The sequence below is a fragment of the Homo sapiens genome, chromosome 2 (genome assembly GCF_000001405.40).
Source record: "Homo sapiens chromosome 2, GRCh38.p14 Primary Assembly".
In the NCBI taxonomy this organism is placed as follows: Eukaryota; Metazoa; Chordata; class Mammalia; order Primates; family Hominidae; genus Homo; species Homo sapiens.
The window spans coordinates 138,480,829-138,503,365 of NC_000002.12; the positions used below are offsets into that span (position 1 = coordinate 138,480,829).

General features: G+C 41.0%; 1 protein-coding gene and 1 long non-coding RNA gene across 2 annotated transcripts in view, besides 2 other annotated features; one reads left to right on the forward strand and one right to left on the reverse strand.

Annotated features, from left to right (window-relative positions):
* Positions 1–10,234: 10,234 nt before the first annotated feature.
* On the reverse strand, positions 10,235–20,867 carry SPOPL-DT (SPOPL divergent transcript). Its single transcript, NR_187149.1, has 2 exons — positions 20,491–20,867; positions 10,235–20,052 (listed from the first exon to the last, which is right to left on the reverse strand). It is a non-coding gene; the product is annotated as an SPOPL divergent transcript (long non-coding RNA).
* Positions 20,838–21,377: a silencer, noted in NCBI's record as "silent region_11986". NCBI's record gives its function as "represses an Ori minimal core promoter by ATAC-STARR-seq in GM12878 lymphoblastoid cells {active_cell/tissue: GM12878}" and the evidence as "EXISTENCE:reporter gene assay evidence [ECO:0000049][PMID:35858748]".
* The window catches only part of SPOPL (speckle type BTB/POZ protein like), a 71,778-nt gene continuing 70,182 nt past the window's right edge, over positions 20,942–22,537 (forward strand). Inside the window, exon 1 of the mRNA NM_001001664.3 lies at positions 20,942–21,291. The gene's annotated coding sequence lies outside the window, so the exon portion shown is untranslated. The remainder of the gene's footprint in view (positions 21,292–22,537) is intronic.
* Positions 21,578–21,627: a silencer, noted in NCBI's record as "silent region_11987". NCBI's record gives its function as "represses an Ori minimal core promoter by ATAC-STARR-seq in GM12878 lymphoblastoid cells {active_cell/tissue: GM12878}" and the evidence as "EXISTENCE:reporter gene assay evidence [ECO:0000049][PMID:35858748]".

The window sequence follows — 22,537 nt, forward strand, 5'->3', positions numbered from 1 at the left end:
TATTTGCACATTGAAATTGTTTCTAGAATAACAAATAAGTTCATGTCAATGCTTACTAAATTTTTTTTGTGTGTAATTTTTTTGTTAAACCACTTTATTGAAGTATGATTGATATATTAAAGGTCATAAATATTAAATGTACACAACATGATGGGTTTGGAAGTAGGCATACACCCATGAAACCATCACCATAATCTATGCCATAAATCTACACATCACCTCCAAAGTTTTCTCCTGCCCTTATTATTATTGTATGTGTGTATGATAAGAATATGTAACAAAAAGTCTACCTTATACATTACAGTATTGTTAACTATACGCATTATACTGTACAGTAGATCTCTAGAATTTATTCATCTTGTATAATTGATACTTTGTACACTCTGACTAATACTTCCCCATTAATACCTCCCCCCAGCCCCTGCCAACCATCATTCCACTCTCTGCTTCTATGAATTTGACTATTTTAGATTCATCATATAATCGAGATAATGCAGTATTTGTCTTTCTGTGTCTGGTTTATTTCACTTAGAATAATATCTTCTGGGTTCATCCATGGTGTTGCAAATGGCAGGATTTCTTACATTTTTAAGGCTGAATAATATTTCATTGTATGTATATACCACATTTTCTTTATCTATACATCCATCAACAGACATTTAGGTTGTTTCCATTTCTTGGCTATTGTCGTGAACCTAGTAATACAGATATCTCTTCAAGATCCTAACATTAATTCCTTTGTATAAATACCAAGAAGTAGGTTTATTGGATCATATGGTGGGGTTATTTATAATTTTTTGAGGAATCTTCTTATTGTTTTCCATAGCAGCTGCACCAGTTTACATTCTCACCAACAGTATACAAGTGCTCCTTTTTTTTCCACATCCTGGCCAATACTTCTTAACTTTTTTTATTATTAATACTCCTCCTAATATGTATGAGGAAATATCTCACTGTGGTTTTGATTTGTTTTTCCCTGATGATTAGTGATGTTGAGCACTTTTGATATAAGTGTTGGGCATTTGCATGTCTTCTTCGGAGAAATATCTATTGTGATCCTTTGCCAATTTTTAACCAGATTATTTGTTGTCGGGCTTTTGGAGGATTTTTTGGTATGGAGCTGTAAGGGTTCTTTATATATTTTGGATACTAATTCTTTATACAGACATATGGTTTGCAAATATTTTCTCCTATTTTGTATTTTGCAGGGTAGGTTTGTCTCTCACTTCATTTGTTTTCATTCATTGTATCTTCACAATATTTATACTTGTCACATTGCTTTCTAAGTGATATTTGAAAAGCGTGTTTACATGGTATTCTTGCAATTGTAAAATCCTCCCAGAAAAACTGAATCTTTTACATTATCATGCCTTATTTTCCCTCCCTTTAAACCAGTTCTATAAGCATTTAAAACCAGTGACCTTGATAGGGATTTAAAGTGATACCATCTCACACTAGTCAGAATGGCGATTATTAAAAAGTCCAGAAACAACAGATGCTGGTGAGGATGCAGAGAAAAAGGAACACTTTTACACTGTTAGTGGGAGTGTAAATTAGTTCAACAAATTAGTAAATTAGTTCAATTGAAATTAGTTCAATTGTGGAAGATAGTGTTGTGATTTCTCAAAGATCTAGAGGCAGAAATACCATTTAATCCAACAATCTCATTACTGGGTATATACCCAAAGGAATATAAATCATTCTATTACAGTCCGGGTGCAGCGACTCATGCCTGTAATCCCAGCACTTTGGGAGGCTGAGGTGGGCGGATCACTAGAGGTCAGGAGTTTGAGACCAGCCTGACCAACGAGTGAAACCCTATCTCTACTAAAAATACAAAAATTAGACAGGTGTGATGTCATGTGCCTTTAGTCCCAGCTACTCAGGAGGCTTAGGCATAAGAATCACTTGAACCTGGATGGCAGGGGCTGCAGTGAGTCGAGATCGCACCACTGCACTCCAGCCTGGGGTGACAGAGCAAGGCTCAGTCTCAAAAAATAAATAAATAAATAAACCACTCTATTATAAAGATATATGCACCTGCATGTTCATTGCAGCACTATTCACAATAGCAAAGACATGGAATCAACCCAAATGCCCATCAGTGATAGACTGGATAAAGAAAATATATACCATGGAATAGTATGCAGCCATACAAAGGAATGAGATCATTTCCTTTGCAAGGATATGGAGGGAGCTGGAATCCATTATCTTCAGCAAACTAACACAGAAACAGAAAACCAAACACTAGATGCTCTCACTTATAAGTGGGAGCTAAACAATGAGAACACATGGACACAGGGAGGGGAACAACAAAAACTGGGGCCTTTCATGTGGGGAGGTAGGGGGAGTGAGGCCATCAGGAAGACCAGCTAATGAACACTGAGCTTAATACCTAGGTGATGCAGAATTGGAAAAAACTACTTTAAAGTTCATTTGGAACCAAAAAAGAGCCTGCATTGCCAAGTCAATCCTAAGCCAAAAGAACAAAGCTGGAGGCATCACGCTACCTGACTTCAAACTATATTACAAGGCTACAGTAACCAAAACAGCATGGTACTGGTAACAAAACACAGATATAGACCAATGGAACAGAACAGAGCCCTCAGAAATAATACCACACATCTACAACTATCTGATCTTTGACAAACCTGACAAAAACAAGAAATGGGGAAAGGATTCCCTATTCAACAAATGGTGCTGGGAAAACTGGCTAGCCATATGTAGAAAGCTGAAACTAGATCCCTTCCTTACACCTTATACAAAAATTAATTCAAGATGGATTAAAGACTTAAATGTTAAACCTAAAACCATAAAAACCCCATAAGAAAACCTAGGCAATACCATTCAGGACATAGGCATGGGCAAGGACTTTATGTCTAAAACACCAAAAGCAATGGCAACAAAAGCCAAAATTGACAAATGGGATCTAATTAAACTAAAGAGCTTCTGCACAGCAAAAGAAACTACCATCAGAGTGAACAGGCAACCTACAGAATGGGAGAAAATGTTTGCAATCTACTCATCTGACAAAGGGCTAATATCCAGAATCTACAATGAACTAAAACAAATTTACAAGAAAAAAACAAACAACCCCATCAAAAAGTGGCTGAAGGATATGAACCAACACTTCTCAAAAGAAGACATTTATGCAGCCAACAGACACATGAAAAAATGCTCATCATCACTGGCCATCAGAGAAATGCAAATCAAAACCACAATGAGATACCATCTCACACCAGTTAGAATGGCGATCATTAAAAAGTCAGGAAACAACAGGTGCTGGAGAGGACGTGGAGAAATAGGAACACTTTTACACTGTTGGTGGGACTGTAAACTAGTTCAACCATTGTGCAAGACAGTGTGGCGATTCCTCAGGGATCTAGAACTAGAAATACCATTTGACCCAGCCATCCCATTACTGGGTATATACCCAAAGGATTATAAATCATGCTGCTATAAAGACACATGCACACGTATGTTTATTATGGCACTATTCACAATAGCAAAAACTTGGAACCAACCCAAATGTCTAACAATGATAGACTGGATTAAGAAAATGTGGCACATATACACCATGGAATACTATGCAGTGATAAAAAAGGATGAGTTCATGTCCTTTGTAGGGACATGGATGAAGCTGGAAACCATCATTCTCAGCAAACTATCGCAAGGACAAAAAAACACCGCATGTTCTCACTCATAGGTGGGAATTGAACAATGAGAACACTTGGACACAGAAAGGGGAACATCACACACCAGGGCCTGTCATGGCATGGGGGGAGTGGGGAGGGATAGCATTAGGAGATATACCTAATGTAAATGATGAGTTAATGGGTGCAGCACACCAACATGGCACATGTATACATACGTTAACAAAACTGCAGGTTGTGCACATGTACCCTAGAACTTAAAGTGTAATAAAAATATATATATATAAAAACTACCTAGGTGATGGGTTGATGTGTGCAGCAAACCATCATGGCACATGTTTACCTGTGTAACAAACCTGCACATCCTGCACAAGTACCGTGGAACTTAAAAGTTGAAGGAAAAATAAATAAATAAATAAATCTAGTATTGATTTGGGTTATTTCAGTTTGTGTTCTCCAAATAATATTTGTTCAAAATAAAGTAATTTAGAAAATGCTCTAAAATGTGAAAGACTTACAAGAATGTGAATGTAAGACAATATCCTTTAATTTTGAGGAATACTTTTGGACAAAGTATTAAGAGTCTATTATGTGCTTGGCATCATACTAAATAATAAGAGAAATATAATACAAAGAGGCAGAAAGAGATCAGAAAGCTGGAGATGTGGGTACCTCACTGGTATCTCACACACTGTGGTGTGCATGCCATTTTGACTCAGAAGGCAGTGGTTGGCTTTTCTCAGAGGGTGATATCATGCTGATTGCTAAATGAAGAAGAAAGTAAACAATGTGAAATTTTAGGGGTAGGACATGAGGAGGCAAGGTGTGAATCATACCAGGCCAAAATGGCCATAACATGGGGTCTAGATTTATGTGTACTAGGAAGCAGTCCTTGGGGTATTTTTTGTAGGGATGTAGTATGAACTGATTCATATTTTTCACATTGCTCCCTATCTTGTACATAGAAAATAATAGTGTCTTGGTGGCAGAGTGGAAGGAGAGATTTAATAGGAGGCGAGGGTTTAGTGTAAGTGGGAGCTGAGAGAAGGAGGCTTGGATCAGTAGAGGAGATGAAGAGAAATGGACAGAATTCCATAAAGAAATTCTAAAGACAGGCTGGGCGCAGTGGCTCACACCTGTAATCCCAGCACTTTGGGAGGCTGAGGCGGGCAGATCACCTGAGGTCAAGAGTTGGAGACCAGCCTGGCTAACATGGTGAAACCCCATCTCTACTAAAATACAAAAATTAGCTGAGCATGGTGGTGCACACCTGTACTCCCAGCTACTCAGGAGGCTGAGGCAGGAAAATCGCTTGAACCCAGGAGGCAGAGGTTGTGGTGAGCCAAGAACATGCCACTGCACTCCAGCCTGGGCGACAGAGCAAGACTCTATCTCAAAAAAAAAAAAAAAAAAGAAAGAAAGAAAGAAAGAAAAAAGAAAAAGAAATTCCAAAGACATAACGGACTGGGAAAATATTTGAACCTCATATTGCTTTTCTACAGATCAGTAAGAAAAAGACTGGTAACTGAAAGTAAAATGAACAAGGAATGTTAACAGGCAGTTTGCAGAAAAGGAAATAAAAAATGCTAAATATATGTTAAGCTGTTCGATTTCACTCTTAATAAGATAAATGAAAATGAAAATTACACTGAAATGTATATTTACTAAAGATTAGCAAAAAGAAGAGAGCTTAATAGAATATAAACTTGGGGAGGGTAGAAAGAAATATTCTCATACATTTCTGGGGTGAATGTAAATTAGTATACTGTCTGTGATGGACAATTTGCAGGTATCTATCAAAATCACACAAGCACTTATTCTTAGACCCAGAAGATTCTCCTCATTGTAATTTATCCTAGAGATAAACCTTTATTCTACATCCTATAACAGAGGCTGTCAGTGCTCTGCTCATGTTCATCAGATCTGCAGCCTTCTACCAATGACTCTCAGAAGCTGGTGTGTATTCACTTCAGCTACCTCACTCTTGAGGTTAAATAACTGTGAGGAGTGTGTTTTTCTCCTTTCTCAGATTTCCTCATTTGAGCTTCCCATAAGGTTAAACTCCAGTTGCCCATGGCAGTACCTTGGCTCGATACTGCATTGGATGACTGCCTTCTTTTCCCTGGATCACTTCCCTCTTCCTTTACTGGTTTTCCCAGTACTTCTGAATAAATTACTTACAATCAAGATTTGTTTCTGGAGAAATTCAACTAAGACAATCAATCCAAGCCTTTTCTCTGAATGTTCTTTCTACTTTTAGATTCCTAACAGGGGTGCTACTGGCATTTGGGTAGCATATGTCCATGTCATATAATCTTGCCATTACCTTTCAGGATGTTTAGCATGTCTCTTCTTTGGACACAGAATTCCACTAGTTACTGTGACAGCCAAAAACTTAATACATGCATTTCCATATTTCCACGTGTCTTTCTCTCTCCCCTGGAAACACAGCTTTTCCTGTAGCCCTCTCAAGTAGAGCCAATATCTTCTCTCAGATGCCACATACCACTAGGCCAGTGGGGGGCTCCTTACTGCTTCCAGATCATTTTCTCTTCTTCCCCTAAAACCCCAGCTTTTAATATCATATTTTCCCACCATATTGCTATGATTCACTGTATTTCCCTTGACCACTCCTCCTTATTCCTTAAAGATTTAGCCTTTAGCTGATTGACATTTTATCAAACACTATTCCTATAATAGTTCTTGGTGATTGTAATATTCACGTGGATGATCCTTTCAACTCCATGGCCTCTCAGTTCCTTGACTTTCTCTCTTCTCTTCTTCAATGATCTTATCTGTCCTTCATAAGAGAACCTCCAGAATCTCCTACCAAATACCTACCTGTATCTCTGCATCTGTGCCCACCTACTGCCTTCTTTTCTGTTACTATAAATGAACACCCTGTGCCTATCCAGACCAACATGTCTTCTAGTTCTAATCCTATACTTTCCTCCCCACTGAAGGATATAATTCTAGCAATTCATCTTGCTCTACCTGCGTCCCAAATTTTTCCCTCTTCATAGCAGTCAAATATGCTGCAATTCTGCCTATCTGAAAATGATAATATGCTCAACTGGTTTTTATTCTACTTCACTGGCTACTTTACCACAACCTACTTTGCTAGTTTTGCCTTGTCTCTTTGATTCTAACTATTGGAGGGCCCCCAGGGCTAAGCCCATGAACTTTTCTCTATCTATGCTGCTTACATTATGATTTTGTTAATTTCTGTGGCTTTCAATATCACATATAAAATGAAAATTCCAGAATTTATTTATCCAGTTTGATCTCACCTCTAAATTCCAGACTTATATATCCACTATCCTTTTTGATAGCTCTATCTGGTACCTGATAAATAGTTCCAACTGGAAATTTTAAAAACCAAATTTATATCCTCCTATCCAAACATGCTCACTCAATAATCTTCTACTTAGGAAATGGCATACTCATCATTCCATTTGCTCAGACCAAAGTCCTGGCATCATTTAATTTCTCTTTCACACTCTACATCCTTACTTTATCAGCAAATCTTTTTGGCTCTATTTATATTAAAAGTATAAATAGAACTCAGTCACCACTTGCACCTCCATTGCCCCCAACTTTCTAGTCCGAACCATAATCCTTCTTTAAAATTTCAATAGCCTCCTGATTGGGTTCCCTATTTTCATTTTCCCCCACAGTCTAATTTCACTACAGAAGTCAGAGTGATCCTTTTAAGACTTAAATCAGATCATGTTATTACTTTGGTCAAAACTCTGTATCTTATTCGGAATAAAGGTGAATGTTCATGTAACAGTTCACAAGACCAGATAGAATCTAATCCCTCAGGCACCATTCCAGTCTCCTCTTTAACCTCTGAATAAATAACTGGAGAATGGAGATAGGTTCCACATAGATTTTTGGAGGCAGAACTATTAAGACCTGCCAGTGGATTTGATGTGGTAGGATTAGGGAAAGAGAGCAATAAAACATGGTAAACAACTCCCTAGTTTTTGGCCTGAGCACCTGGATATATGATTGTGTGTTAACTCTCATGGGAAAGACTAGGGCAGGAGTAGGTATGGGCCTACCTAATGCGTATTTGTAGGATGTGGTTACAGCAAGTAGATCCGAATTCTGTCATATACATGTTAGGCTTTAGGTACCTACTGGACATTTAAGTGAAGATTATGAGTATGCAGCTATAAAGTCTGGTAAGAGAAAACTAGGTGAGTGTATTTCATGAAATCTATAGAAGATGCTGCTGTTACTAAAAGGATGCAATGTTGAGAGATTTTGATGCTGCTGAGAGATTTAGGAAAAACTGAACAGAGGCTGACAATGAATTAGATACATTCAGGTCATTGGTAACCTTGTGTAACCTTATTAGTGGAAAGATGGGATGGGTTAGGGACAGAATAGAAGGAGTGAAATGGAAGATAGTTTATACAACTAACATGGTAGTAGAAAGATAAATTGATTCTGATTGCATCTATTTTTAACCATCATTGTTGTGATATAATTAACATACCATAAATTTACCCATGTAAAGTATACAATTCAGTGGTATTCAGTGTATTCAAAAGATTGTACAACCATCACTACCATCTAATTCCAGAACATTTTCAATACTTCCCAAAGAAACCTCACCTTTATTAGCAGTCACTTTCCAATCTCCCAATCCCTGCCAATCACTATCTTCTTTCTGTCTCTATGAATTTGCCTACTCTGGACATTTCATGCAAGTGAAGTCATACAATACATGGGCCTTTGTGTCTGGTTCTTTCGCTTAGCAGTTTGCAAGGTTGCAGTGTCTGTCCATGCTTTATTCCTTTCTATGACTAAATATATTCAATTATTTTATGGATATACCATATTTTATCTGTTTATCAGATGATAGACATTTGGGTTGTTTCTACCTTTCGGCTGTTAAAGATAAGGCTGCTATAAGCATTCATGTATGAGTTTTTGTGCGAAAATATTTTCATTTCTCTTGGGTACGTCCTAGGAGTAGAATTGCTATGTCATGTAGTAACTATATGTTTAGCAATTTGAGGAACTGCCAGACTTTTCTAAAGTGGCTGCACCATTTTATATTCCCACCAGAAATTCCAACCAGATTTGGGTCTTTTAAAAATATATTCCATCTCTACTTAGCTTTCTGAACATTTGGAACATAGTCACAATAATTGTTTTAGTGTCTCTCTCTGCTAATTATATCATCTGTGCCAATTTTGGGTCTGTTTTGATTGACTGGTTGCTCTCCCCATTATGAGATATGTTTTTCTTTTTCTTTGCATGCCCGGTAATCTTTGATTGCATGCATACTTTGTGAATTTGTTGGGTGCTGGATACTTTTGAACTCTCATAAATCTTCTTGAGTTTTGTTCAGGTATGATGTTAAGTTACTTGGAAACAGTTTGATCTTTTCAGATGTTGCTTTTATGATTTGTTTGGCAGGTTGAGAGCAGTTCTCAGGCTAGGGCTAATTATTTCCCACCACTGAGGCAAGACCTTCTTGAGTACTTTATCCAGTGTCTATGAATTATGAGTTTTTCCAATCTGGCCGGTAGTGGGAACAGACACTACTTCTGGTCCTATGTATGTTATGGCCACATGTTCTCTCTACCTCCTCCAGATGGTCCTTTTCTAGGCCTCATGTAGTTTCTTCATAGTCATGATCAAAACTCTTCTGAATACTTAACAGAGATCCCTCTGCAGACCCCCAGGCTTTACTCTGTGTAGCTCTCTCTCTCCTCTATCACTCTTTCCTAAGAAATCTCACTGCGTTGATCTTCCTGGACTCTCAGCAATGTTGCCTCAATTCAGAATCATAACTGGGCTTCACCTCTGTTCTCCTACCACATGTCATGACCTGAAAACTCTCTCAAATTAGTAAACTGGGGCAATAGTAGGTCTCATCCATTTTATTTCCTATATTTCAAGAATCACCATGTCCATTGCTTGATATCTAGTGTCATAAAAACCATTGTTTCATGTCTTTTGTCTGTTTTTGTTGTTGTTTAGTTGTTACAGGTAGGAGGGTAAATCTAGTTCTATTACTCCACCTTGATCATATATTTTTTCTAAATCAGAGATAGCAGGGAGGACTCTGAAATGGCCCATCGTCAGTGCCTTTCCTTCCTTATTTATGATGAGAATGAGAGCTTTGACTCAAATCATTTCTATGTATATTTACATAGTTGTTTCTCAGATCTTAAAAAACAGATGGGGCAAGCACTGATACCTCAAATAGATTTCTTTTTTGGAAACAAAATATTCCACTGAGGAATAGTCATTTATAGTATGGGATGCTAGCCCAAGCTTTGTCCTGGCAGAGTTTACAGATCCAAATGTCTGCACAGAGGCTTGACAGATGTGAAGCGTAGGCCAGATGTAATATGTGATGAACTGAGAACATGACAGTGAACTGGAGAGGCAGGCTTGGTCCAAAGTCCTTCAAATTCAAAAGCATGACGGCAAATAAAAGTGCCCTAACTTTCTGACTGAACTTAATCCCACTGTCTGCATCCAAAACTCTGACCACCCGCCTCAGTTATAAGATAGTTTTTATTTATTTATTTTTCACCAACCACAATAAGCAGCACTGAATAAGATTGTTTTATTAAAATATCTTGTACAAAAGTATCTTTAAAAGAGCAATACATATTATTAATTTTTGTACAGTGATATTATTATTAATGCCCGTAAGTCCTTCAAAGGAGGCTCACTGTCCCCCAAAAGAAGATTAACTAGGAGAATGCAAAATCATAGATGAGGAAATAAGTGTAATTTTCCTGAAGCAGTAAGTATTTTACCAATCTCAGAATGTTTGTCCACAAAGCTTAGCAATATACTCATGTCAAGGACAGTAGTTACATCTCTTTTATCTTCCCAGCAAAAAGTAACTCTTTTACTACAACCAGTTTCACCTGTTTTGCAACTTGCTTTGGTCAATATTTTCTTTAGCTGGGAAGAAAGCTAACTGACACAGTGGAGATGAAAAACTGGTTTTAGAAACCTATTGATATAAGCTAGAAGAGACATATTTGGAGACCTGGAATCAATATTTTAAATACAATAATTTCTAGACTTTACATAGTTATACTTTGGTTTCCAGTTCTCTAGAAATTAAATGGTAGCTAAGACTACCATATTAGGAATTGAAATATGAATGATTCTACAGACCATGACTTAGCTGTGATGCTCATAAAATTCTAAGTCCTGCAGCTACTCAAGGTAGTCCATACAAGTACAAACCCAGAATATATGAGTCAAGAGTGAAATATATGTTCCTACTAATATTCAATCTGAGTTACCTTGCCTTTTAAAGGACATCAAAGGATTTCAACATACAGTAGTCAGATATAAAGTGTTAGTGTGTTTTTTTTTAACACCTAGTAAAAATAACAATGTTATTAATTGTATGAAGAAGAAAGGACATCTTGGTTAGGTAGTCCGACCACAATACTTAACAGGAAGATTAGCTTCTCCAACGTAAATACTTAGTAACACACACTACTGCTGTGACAATCACCACTGACTTTCACTGTAGGGTTTTTGGATCTTTAAGGTTATATTTTATGACTGAACTGCATTTTTAAAAGATTTTTCCCAAATAATCTATGAAAAGCCAGACTTCTTTTAATTATTGTTTGTTTTAACAACTTATATCAAAAAGAAGGCACATCTTTCCAAGTAGGTTTTGTTAAATCAGTGGTTTTCAATTTGGGGCGGTTTTGTCTCTTTTTTTTTTTTTCCTAGGGGACATTTGGCAATGTTGAGAAATGTTTTGTTATAACTAGACAGGTGGGTGCTACTGGTAGAGATGCCACCAAAAATCTTACAATGCACAAGACAGCTCCCTACAACAAAGAATTATCCAACCTCAAAGGTCAATAGAACTGAGATTGAGAAATCATGTGTTAAATCAAGACTGTGATGTTGTTAAGCTTCTGTATAAATTCTAGTTGAGAAATACCTTTGTGGTAACTTTTAAAATTACAATTGTTTCAAGGAAAACAACTAATTTAGGCTTATTTACTATTTCAAAATAATAACTTCTTATTTGCTTAGCATTTTATCGTTAAAAAAAATTTTTTTTAAATACAGACAGGACCTCTCTATGCTGCCCAGGCTGATATTGAACTCCTGGGCTCAAGTGATCCTCCTGCCTTGGGCTCCCACAATGCTGGGATTATAGGCATGAAACACCATACCTGGCCTTTTCTTTTTATTTTCTTTTAGCCTTTTATCTTTTGCACAATCCTTTCATATGTTTCATCTCATTTTCTCCTCATAGATTTGTGGTGAAATTATCTTTTTTCCTGTTCTGCTATCAAGGGCACTGTTGTGCAGGACAAGGCTATAGGATTCAAACAAGCCACACTGATTCACATTCTGAATGAAAAACCCAGTGCTCTTTTGCTATCCTATCCTACAGCAGTGACATTCTTGTTAAGGACACTATATGAAAAGAAATTTAAAAATAAACAAAAACAAATCATTGTGTACCTCTGGGGATGTGACCCCAGAAGATAGGTGTCATATGCTCTAAGAATGGAGGAAGCAGGAGAGACACAGGTTGGGTATGGGAGGTGAGGAGCAAGCATGGGGAGTAAGAGGTGGAAAAAATAATGACATTACTAAAGCCATCGGGGGAAGCACAGGCAGATTCCTAAACTGAATGTGACTGCTTTCCTGTGAAAATCATTCCTTCTCCCCTAAGCAGGGTAAGACCCTTACGAAAACACAAAATGGATAAATCTGCTGAATTCAACTAGAAAAACAGAAACCACACTTATTTCTTCAAACAAAGAATGTGATACAAGGAATCTGTTGCACAGGTGATGGAAAAACTGAGAAGAATCCAGGGGAAATTCTTCCCCAGAGAAGCAACCACAGGAAACTATTACACTTTTAAGTAGGTGGCAGGAGGAGGTAGTATTGTCAGATCCCAGGGCTGATTTCATGGTAGGCCTGTCCAGCAAGAGAGGGAGCCGCTGGGGAGACAGCTGCAGGGGATGGTGCCTAAGGCAGAAAGAGATGGGGAGATATATTGGTTTCTCCTACCCTCCAATCACCTGACAGTGCTCCCTGTTAGCCTAGCCCAGTAGGAAGCCAGCTGACACATGGGTCTGGAAAACAGCCTGTAGAAGCCAGCTTAGATAAGGACAGAGAAGGGCAGGGGAGGAGTATTTTCCAAGACTAGCAGGCTAGTCATCACACGTCCCGCGGAGGAATGCCAATGGAGGAACACCATGGATTGGTTCAAGTGATCAAGTAAATATTCCAGGAACTTAATCATGTTTTCTTTCAAAATAAGATGTTTTAAGTCTATCTTGGACCAAACAATTAAATAACTAAAATTAAAATCAAACTCAGAAGAGAAAGAGTATTTAACAAATGAAGCATGGTACCTTTTTGTATAAATATCCAGGCCTTTTAGGGTTAAGTGATTACCACAGAGAGAAAAGTTTTTTTAAAATAGAAAATGGAAAGAAAACAGCTCTAATAGGGGGGATTTTGTCACACCTGTTTTGCACACAGTAGGCTCCACAGTCAAAATAGACGCAAATTCTTGCTGAGCTTTTGACGACATGAAAATAAAGGCATTCATCACCTTTCCTCTCAAAATTGCAGACTGTAGCAGAACACCATTTTTAAAAGGCTAGTCTAATTTCCTTTCTGGGGGAAAAAAATGAGAAAGGAAACTAAAGAGACAAAAATATATAATTGCAGACTCTCCCTCTTAACTGGATCACTGTGTACCCAAAATATGTGTAATTTAATTTTAAGAAATATATTGAAATTGCAGAATCACTAGTAATTCAGTGACCTCAGAAATCCTGGAACACAAAAGCCAACTATTAATGGCTATTTCAACTGAGTAATGGTTAACATTTACAAGAGACGTAACCTGGGGTAATTGCTGGGGATATTTTGGCTTTCTTGTACATGTTCTTAATCTGTATAACTGATCAGAAAAGCCACAGAGAAGTGTAGCAGGGATGCCACATGTAACTGACTCATAAAAGGCTCCTTTAGAGAAGGAGACACTCAAAGCACAGGGAAATGTAAGCAGGCACCTTAAGTAGGAAAATGTGAAGTGTGATTTCTGGTAGCTGTCCTACTTGGGACACAAATGGCCTTTGCTGGTCAGTCCCAGCAGGCAGGGAAAGACTGAAGCACCCAATATGCAATCCCAGATCAGGGCTTTGAAGGGGGCTGGGGCTCCAGAGAGCCAGATGAAGCTGCAGCCTTAAGAGAGTTCAGTTATCATTTCTACAGGGTCAAGCAAACAAATGCCATAGTCCAAAGTGGCAGTCGCCTGGGGGCAGGGTCCTCAGAGGTGGAACAAGGGCTTGAAAGGGAATCTAGGGGCTGGTGAAACTCTTGAAATCCAGGCAGGCCAGCTTGCTTTGGGAATAAGGGGAGTGTTTGTCTGAGAGCTGCTGGCAGAAGGTGAGTAGCCAAGACAGGGGATCAGGCAAAGAAGCCCATTAGGATATAGAAACTGGGCAAGAGAGAGATTTAAGTGATGATGGGGGTGAGGGGCTTGAACTGCATCATAGAGACGTGTGTGTTTGCTTTCCTCCCAGAGGCATTTTTCTAATCCTTTAAGGCTCAAGTTCTCACTATAGGTGCAGTGCCCAGAGCTCATAAGCATTTCCCAGTCTTATCAAATTGTTTGAGAGCTGGACAAGAAAATGGCCTGGCTCTAAAACACAAAGCAAATTATAAAATGCAATTAATAAATGTTTCAAGAGGAAAATTATATGATTTCCTTTAATTTTCATAACAAAACGTCGTGCTTTTCATGTGGGATAGGACATTTTCCAGTGTTTGATAGGATGTGTGATGAGGCCTCTGAAAGAATATCCAGGGTTTAGGTAACCCTTGAATTCGCCTTTCTTCTGCTTGGCATAGTTCAGGCAGGGGAGGTCCAATGTGTTAAGACTTCAGCAAGGTTGGGCAAAGAGTGGAAGGCAAAAGCCCAAATCACCATAGCCAGAAATATGGGGGAGGGGAGTAGAAGAGACTGGAAGGAAGGGTGTCTGGGACACTTGCAGAGGTTGGCTCGACTGAGTGCTGAGAGATGCAGGCATAGTGCCCCTGGGAGATGGTGCAGTCTGGTTTCTAATTTTGGAAATGGTCATACCAGGGTTTCCAATTCGGCAGGCAGGCTAGCAGTGAAAGACTGAAGTGTAGGAGAACCATCTGGAGGCCAGTGGCCATTCAGTTTTGTGTAGGGGTATAAATACAGAATTGACAAAAGCAAGACAGGGCTTAGTTTCTAAAGCAGGGAAGCAGCAGAAGGGAAGTGACGACTGAACAGGAGAATCTGGTTCTTCTGAGGCACCAGACCAGTGGAAAATCAGTGAGTCAAGGAAAACTGAGGTCCAGAGGTTCCAAGGCTCCTGGGTTTACTTAGTGTCTGATTGGCTACAAGGCAATTTCAGGAACACCACAGAAGGTCAACCAATGAGAATGGACTTCTAGATTGCTTGTCTGGGAGCAGGGCCTAATTCTATTCTATATGCATCCTCGTTGGGAGAAGGGGCACCTGAGTCTAAGTGAAACAAGGGGTGATCCAATCTGAGATTACCCTGGAGACAGGACCCCTTTGTGTGTCCAGAGAAATAGGCATGGAACTGCCATTTCTTGAGTCAGGTTCCAAGGTGACTGGGATGAAGTGGCTCCAATTTAGGAGAAGGACACAAAGACAGGAAACCACCCAGTGCGCACTGCAGGGGCAGATGTTTAAACAAACTCTTCTAGCCAGGTACAGCCCTGATAGGGAGGAGGGTGTGTCTCTCTGAGAAGACCACAGACCCTGACCTGGAGACATGGTGATGACTGAGCAGAGATAAAAGAGGAGGAGACCGATCAGTTGCACCTCTAGAGCCAATTAGGGCTGGTGCAGAGGCTGGTGGCCTCTGGCTGAACAGAGTGGAGAGCTTTAGACTTCCCCTGGGTCTGTATCCAGGTTCCAGGGCCAACCACAACTCCTCTTTCTCTGTTACCTGAGAGCAGAGAAGGGGCAGGGCCAGGGCGCCAGCAGGAGAGAGCTTAGCTGGCCAAGCTGAAGAGAGAGGTCATTAGGGACTAGATCATGGCAGCAGCGACTGCCTGGATCCTGGCAGAATAAAAGAATTCCAGCAACAGTAAGTGACTTTGGAATAAGAGCCCTCAGCTGATGCCTGGAGGGATGCTGTAGGAGTTTTGGATAATCTTGTAGAAAAGATCATTTTTATTGTTTTTCTTTTATTACACTATGAATAGAGGACCTGCAGGTAGGGTAGCCAAGACTTTTCCCAGATGATACATTCCCCAGCAGAAGTACTGCTATTTCTAATGCGTGAGGCACTAATGATAAAGAATCTATGGATTACTAGCATTTCAAGAGCCTCAACCACGTTTTAAACCTAATTCAAATGAATATTTAACTCAATGGCTATAAGATGTGGCAGTATGCCAACCATTCAACTTATTCTTCACATTTTTCACAAGAAAAACAACAAAAATCATCTCTCCTATAGACCTGACTGATTGATTATCCAAAGAACCAAAGCAGTAAATTTATGAATGTGTATTTAATTTGAAACAAAGAAGCATTCTGAAATATTTGACATAATGTGACTGGGAACATAAAGGTAAGGGTGTTGGCCGGGCACTGTGGCTCATGCCTGTAATCTCAGCACTTTGGGAGGCCAAGGCAGGAAGATCACTTGAAGCCAGGAGTTCCAGACCAGCCTGGGCAACATGGTGAAACCCGGTGTTTAGAAAAAATAAAATGAAAAAAAAAAAAAAATCAGCTGGACTTGATAGTGCATGCCTGCAGGAGGCTGAGATGGGAGGATCCCTTGGGCCCAAGAGGTCAAGACTGCACTGAGTTATGATTGCACCACTGCCCTCCAGCCTGGGTAACAGAGCAAGACAGAATGGAACGGAATGGAACGGGACGGGGAAGGGACGGGGAAGGAAAAGGAAAAGGAAAGGAAAGGGAGAGAAAGAAAGAAAGAGAAAAGTAAAAGAAAGGAAAAAAGGAAAGGAAAGGAAAGAAGGAAGAAAGGAAAGAAAAGAAAAAGAAAAAAAGAAAAGAAAAGAAAGAAAGAGAAAAATAAGAAAGAAAAGAAAGTAAGAGAAAGGAAGGGTGTCAATGAAGGACTTAAAGGACTTAAAAATGGTCCTGTTCTCAGAATTCAGGGTAGGCCCTGTTCTGAGTTTCCTGAGAATTCTCTGGGAATGATTTTTGAGTGATAAGTACATCAAATGTATGGGTCCTTTTTTGCCATAGGCATCACTAGACAAGGCTTACAGGTGGAATTGCTTGAGTTCTGAAGTTTTTTGTATGCTTAAGAAGTCAGTATCATACAGTATAAAAGTACTATAAAACTAGGAATTCACAACAAGGTGAAAAGCCAGAGGCAGAAAAATGAAGACATGGGAAGAGAGAATGAAATTACGTGTACAATAATTTACAAGTTATTAATATTAAACAAGGGTTTGGTATTTCCTTCCAGATAAAAGGCCTAATATTTATTACAGTGAAAAATAATCAGCAAATAAGTTGTCATTTCTTTCCACATTGATTCCAGAAGCTAAATGTCATTTTAATTGTATAAGTGTTAGCTTATGGAAGTTGGGACTGAGTTTGGTTTCCTTGAAGAAAATTTAGGAAAGAAGGGGATAATGATTAGAAAAATATGTGGGATGCCAGGTATGGTGGTGCGCATCTGTAAGTCCCAGCTACTCAGGAGGCTGAGACAGGATTGTTTAAGTCCAGGAGTTTGAAACTGTAGTGAGCCATCATCATGCCTATGAATAACCACTGCACTCCAGCCTGGGCAACAAAGGGAGATCCTGTCTGTTTAAAAAAAAAAAAGAAAAGAAAAGAAAAAGAAAAAGGAAAAAAAAAAAGTGGAAACCAGCTTACTAGCAAAGAGCTTGGTGGACTGCATTAAAACGTGTAGGGGCATTAGCAAAATCTCCAGCAGCAGCGAGCCCAAAAAGTACATCACCGAGGATTCATAAAGTATTGCATGCTTTTTAACAAGCATATTCCTTGCTTTTTTATCTCTACATGGAAGACAATAATGGATTTGTGAGTTTTGTATAGCTTCGTTTTGGACAACTAGAATTGGAAAATTATTGTATAAACCAGGTGGTGGTATGGAAGGCAGTGGTGAGTCCATCGTGCCTACACAGCCATGAAATGGGAGCATCTGTGGTGTTTAATTTAGAAGAGGAACAAGATGCTACAGTCACTAAAATATCAAAGTGGGAAGCTTGATTGGTTCTTCAGGCAGAGCCTCATAGGGTTGGGTCATGGAGATCCAGAGTCTGAGGCTCATCTGTTTATTAAATTCAGAATGGCTGTTTTGATCATCTTCACTAACTGCTGACATAATTATAGGAAGTAGAACTTCCAAGTTGGCCATATACACTGAGGAGTATAAATAGTTTCCTATAGAAAATCAACAATAAGTAGCAAAATAAATATGCAAAAGTTATATGCATGTTTTTTCAGTAGGCTTTTAGGCAGGACAAGTTGGGTGATCCTAATGGTTAATGACTTAAACGAAGCAAGCCCAATACTGACCTAGCAGAGGCAAACTGTGCTCTACACTAATGACAAAGCTGTTATTTCTCTATTTTAAAAATTTATTTACGGCAGCAATAAATGAAAGCCTATCATATCTCTCTAGTTTTCCAATAGGTATCCAGTAAGTAGGAAATCAAATTAAGAAGGTAGTTCTTTAGCAGACTGGTAACAAAGCATCAAGCTTTAGTAAGCTTTAATCCAAACTTACTGACCATAAAACCATCTTTTACTTTGCTAAGCCATCACAGTTTTGTTAGCATTACTTACAAGCCATATTCACTCTTACTATTTACTATCATTTTATTAGTGGGTAAAGTCATTGAATACTGCAAGCAAGAGAGGAATGGTGTGTCCTAACACTTAGGGTAAGGAGATCAAGCCTAGGGAAAAGACTCTCTGAGAATACCCTGAGGAGCAATTTGACATCCTTGTGGTGGAAGTTTATTGAATCAGTTCCCAACTTCAGCCCAGTCAACTGTGAAGGGTCAGCATCACTCTTAACTTCCAATTGGAAATGTACTTGATGGACTTATAACTTAATTCTATGAGTGTATTATATTTACTAGGTGTCTTATAATTTTTAATTATGGGAAGAGAGGGGGTGACATACTACGAAGGGATTGAAAGAGCTAAAAGGCTTAGTCAAAAATTACATGTAATTTTTGCTGTATGTCACATACCATAAAGTTAACACGGGTGGACAGTGAGTATAGCAAATCGTTTCAACTGTTCTTTGCTGGTGTTTGGAGATGGTTAAATGTTTACACAAATATTTCCTCTCTCCACCAACTCTTTCCCCATTCCCTAATGCTCACTTCCACTTCTGTTTTTTAACTTTTGGAGTTCCTTGATCTGCATAAACATTCTACCAACTCAGCCCAAGGCAACTTTGAATTTTATGGTTACATTGCTAATTTTATCTTTATCTGAAAACCTTTGGCACAGATTTTGTCTTAAAGCACGTTTTGTCTTAAATAAGTCAACAGGATTGCTAACGTAAGGTCAGGTGCTAATCCCAGCATTTTGGGAGGCAGAAGTGGGAGGATCACTTGAGGCCAGGAGTTTGAGCCCAGCCTGGGCAATATGGTGAGACTCTGTTTCTACTAAAAATACAAAAATTAGCCGGGCTCACGCCTGTAGTCCCAGATACTTGGTGGCTGAGGCACAGAATTGCTTGAATCTGGGAGGTGACCCAGGATCGCGCCACTGCACTCCAGCCTGGCGTACAAAGCGAGATCCTGTCTCAAACAAACAAAAAGAAAAAAGAAATAAAAAAGACAGCTAATGTAGTATTAATTTGAAATGAGGGGGATCTGCCTGTCCAGTATTCAAATCCCAGTAACCTCTGGATGAATTACTTGCCATTTCTAGTTCTTGTCGCTTAATTTTAAGATGGAAATTTCTACGTTGAAGTTTTAGAGAGGTTGTTGAGAGAACAGAGACGATACAAGTCCATGCTTAGAATACTCAGTACATAGCAAAATAATAAATATTTTCCCTCTGCCCTCTCTCTTTTCTTGGAAAGCCAGGTAAGCAATGAGAAGTTGGTTTATGGCCAGGTGTGGTGGTTCACGCCTGCAAATCCCAGCACTTTGGGAGACCAAGGTGGGAGGATCCCTTGAGCTCAGGAGTTCGAGATCTGCTTGGGCCACATAGCAAGACCTCGTCTCCACAAAAAATTAAGATTACCTGGGCGTGGCACATTCCTGTAGTCCCAGCTACGGGAGGCTGAGTTGGGAGGATCACTTTAGCCTAGGAGGTCGAGGCTGCAGTGAGCTGTGATGGCACCACTGCACTCCAGCCTGGGTGACAGCCCTGTCAAAAACAAAACAAAACAAAAATTGCTGACGTATGCACAGTTAAAGCAAAAAGAGTTGGGATCCTTGAATGACGTTCATGTCTGTTCTGGCAAAGCCGGGATTGTTGGTCCCCCAAACTTCTTTAAAGAAGTTTACTCCTGGTAGCTCGATTAAGTATCTTTGTCCCATGGCCGTGGGGAATAAAAAGTTCAGTTGTCACCCCCTTTTTAAACTAAATGTCCGAAGAGACAAGGCAATCCCATCCTCTCTTCACACATTTGTGCAGGTGCAGCTTTATTTCCCACCGTGCGGTCCCAGGAGGCCGCCTGGTCTTCTGCGCTCACTTCCTAGGCATCCCTGGCCGCCCCTCGGCAGCCTCTCCTTCTGGCCTGAGACTTCCAGCTGAGCCTCATCCCCTCCACCTGAAAACTGCTCCATGGGGCACTTCATCTACCTGGAAAGTTCTCGATTTCCAACTGGAGCCTGTATACTGCTGGTTGTGTCTCAGCAGTTATTACAGCTCTGGGCTTACAACGGGAGCTTAGCAAAAGTTCCACCCTGGCTTCCTAGACTGCTACAGCTCCAAGAAAAATCCTGTGCGCACAAACGGCCGCCGCCTTTGGCGTCTCCCGCGGATTAGACCAGTTAGGAGGTCTCAGTAGGCTTTTAGGCAGGACAAGTTTTACGCCTGGCCAAATAAGGGTCAGACTAAGCAAGGCGCCTCCGTGCGCCTAGCCAGAGCGGTGCCGGCTGCGGAACCTGCCCCGCCGGGAGCCTAGTGCCATGCAGCAGCGGCGGCGGTGGCGGCTTCCCAAGCGCGGCGGCAAATCCGGGCCCGCCCGGAAGTGCCCGGCGCTGTAGGAGGGAGCAAGGGCCCAGGAGCCGCCGCCGCCGCCGCCGCGCGCACGCGCCCTCGCGGGCTGGAGCCGGGGCTGGAGTCGTAACTCGGAAGCCGGAGCCCAGACGGGCCCGCGGCGGGGGGGTGGGGGCTGCGCGGGGGCGGGAGTGGCGGAGGTGGCCGCCCCTGGCGGCGGGTTTGTTTATCCCGGGGAAGAAGTTTAGGAGCGGGAGATAGGGAAGGAGGGCGGGTCGGGGAGGAGGGATGCGGTTCGGCGGAGGCGGCCGCCACAGGGACTTGCCGCCATCACCCCTGCTGCCACCACCGCAGCCTCGGGCTCCCAGGGCGGACACGGCCACCGCCTCAGCGGGAGAGGAGTCTCCACCAGGACTGACCGCTGCCGCCCAGCACGTCCAGGTAGGCGCCCCTTCCCCTCCCCCCAGTCCCCGCGGCAGCCCCAGGCGCTTGCTCCCCTCCCCCGGCTCTCCGTAGACCGGCGGCCTCCTGCTCGCGCCTCACTGCGCCCTCTGCTCTCTGGGTCCCGGACCCCTGCTCGGGCGGCGAGCTCCGGCCTGCTCTGGGGACTACCTCCCACGCCCCCGGACCGCCCTTCCCTCGCGCGGCGGCACCACTTTCCCCGGGGTTGCCCCCAATCCCTCCTTGATTTCCCAGCCTCCACCTTCCAGGATCCCCTTTAGTTTTACCCCCGGGCCTCGCCCCTTCTTTTCCTCTGGCTTCTCTCCTCCTCTATACCTGTATACCTCCACACCTGCCCCTTTTTACCTGAGTGCTGCCCAAAGGCAGAAACTGCATGCTCTGCCACCGCGCAGCGTCCACTTTCATACCTCCTCATCCCAAATACAGACACTTGAAACTCTCGTCCCTGTTAGCCCATTTTAGGCAGAGTTCTCAGCTTCGCAGACCGCTCACTACCTCCAGTCCGGTGGTCATGCCTTTAACCTCTCTTTAACCTGCTTTCTAATACATTTTTGCTCACTTATACCAGAGTACATCAAGCTAACCGCGCGGTTCGGGGTCCAAGTCTTCAAAGAGCCCACTTGTATTCCTGCTGCTCTCCTTTTTCCTAATTCTTTTTGAGTCAATGTATTTGTATATTGATTCAACATAAAAGAAAAGGGAAGGTAGCATTTTCTCTCTCAAAGCAGTCACACAACCCAGTAGAAATAAGATTCACCATCTGCTTATCCTAACTTTCGCTTGTCTCTTTCCTGACTGAACTCTGTCATTCAGTGATTCTTTCCAGGCTTCTGATGCTTTGTCTATTTTTGAATAATCTTGGGCCTAGTTTGACCCATTGTGGTACTCACTTTCCCACTTGCAATTGAATCCACTGTTTCTTGGACTAGAAACTGACAGAGGTAAAAGGTTCATACCTTGAAAAATTACATCTCTCCTGCCACGATGAGATTGGTGGAATATTTCAAATTACCATTTCATCATTCTTGTGAGAAATGTTGCCTAGTGGTTAAGAACTCTTCTCTAGAGCTCAGACTAGTATATAGTTGCCAGGGTGTAAACCCTTGCTCTGCCATCTACCAGCTTTGGCTTTGGGGAAGTTACTTAATATTTCTTCGCCTCAGTATACTTACAGCTGTAAAATGGGGTTATGATATGACATCACAGGATGGTGCTAGTAATTGCA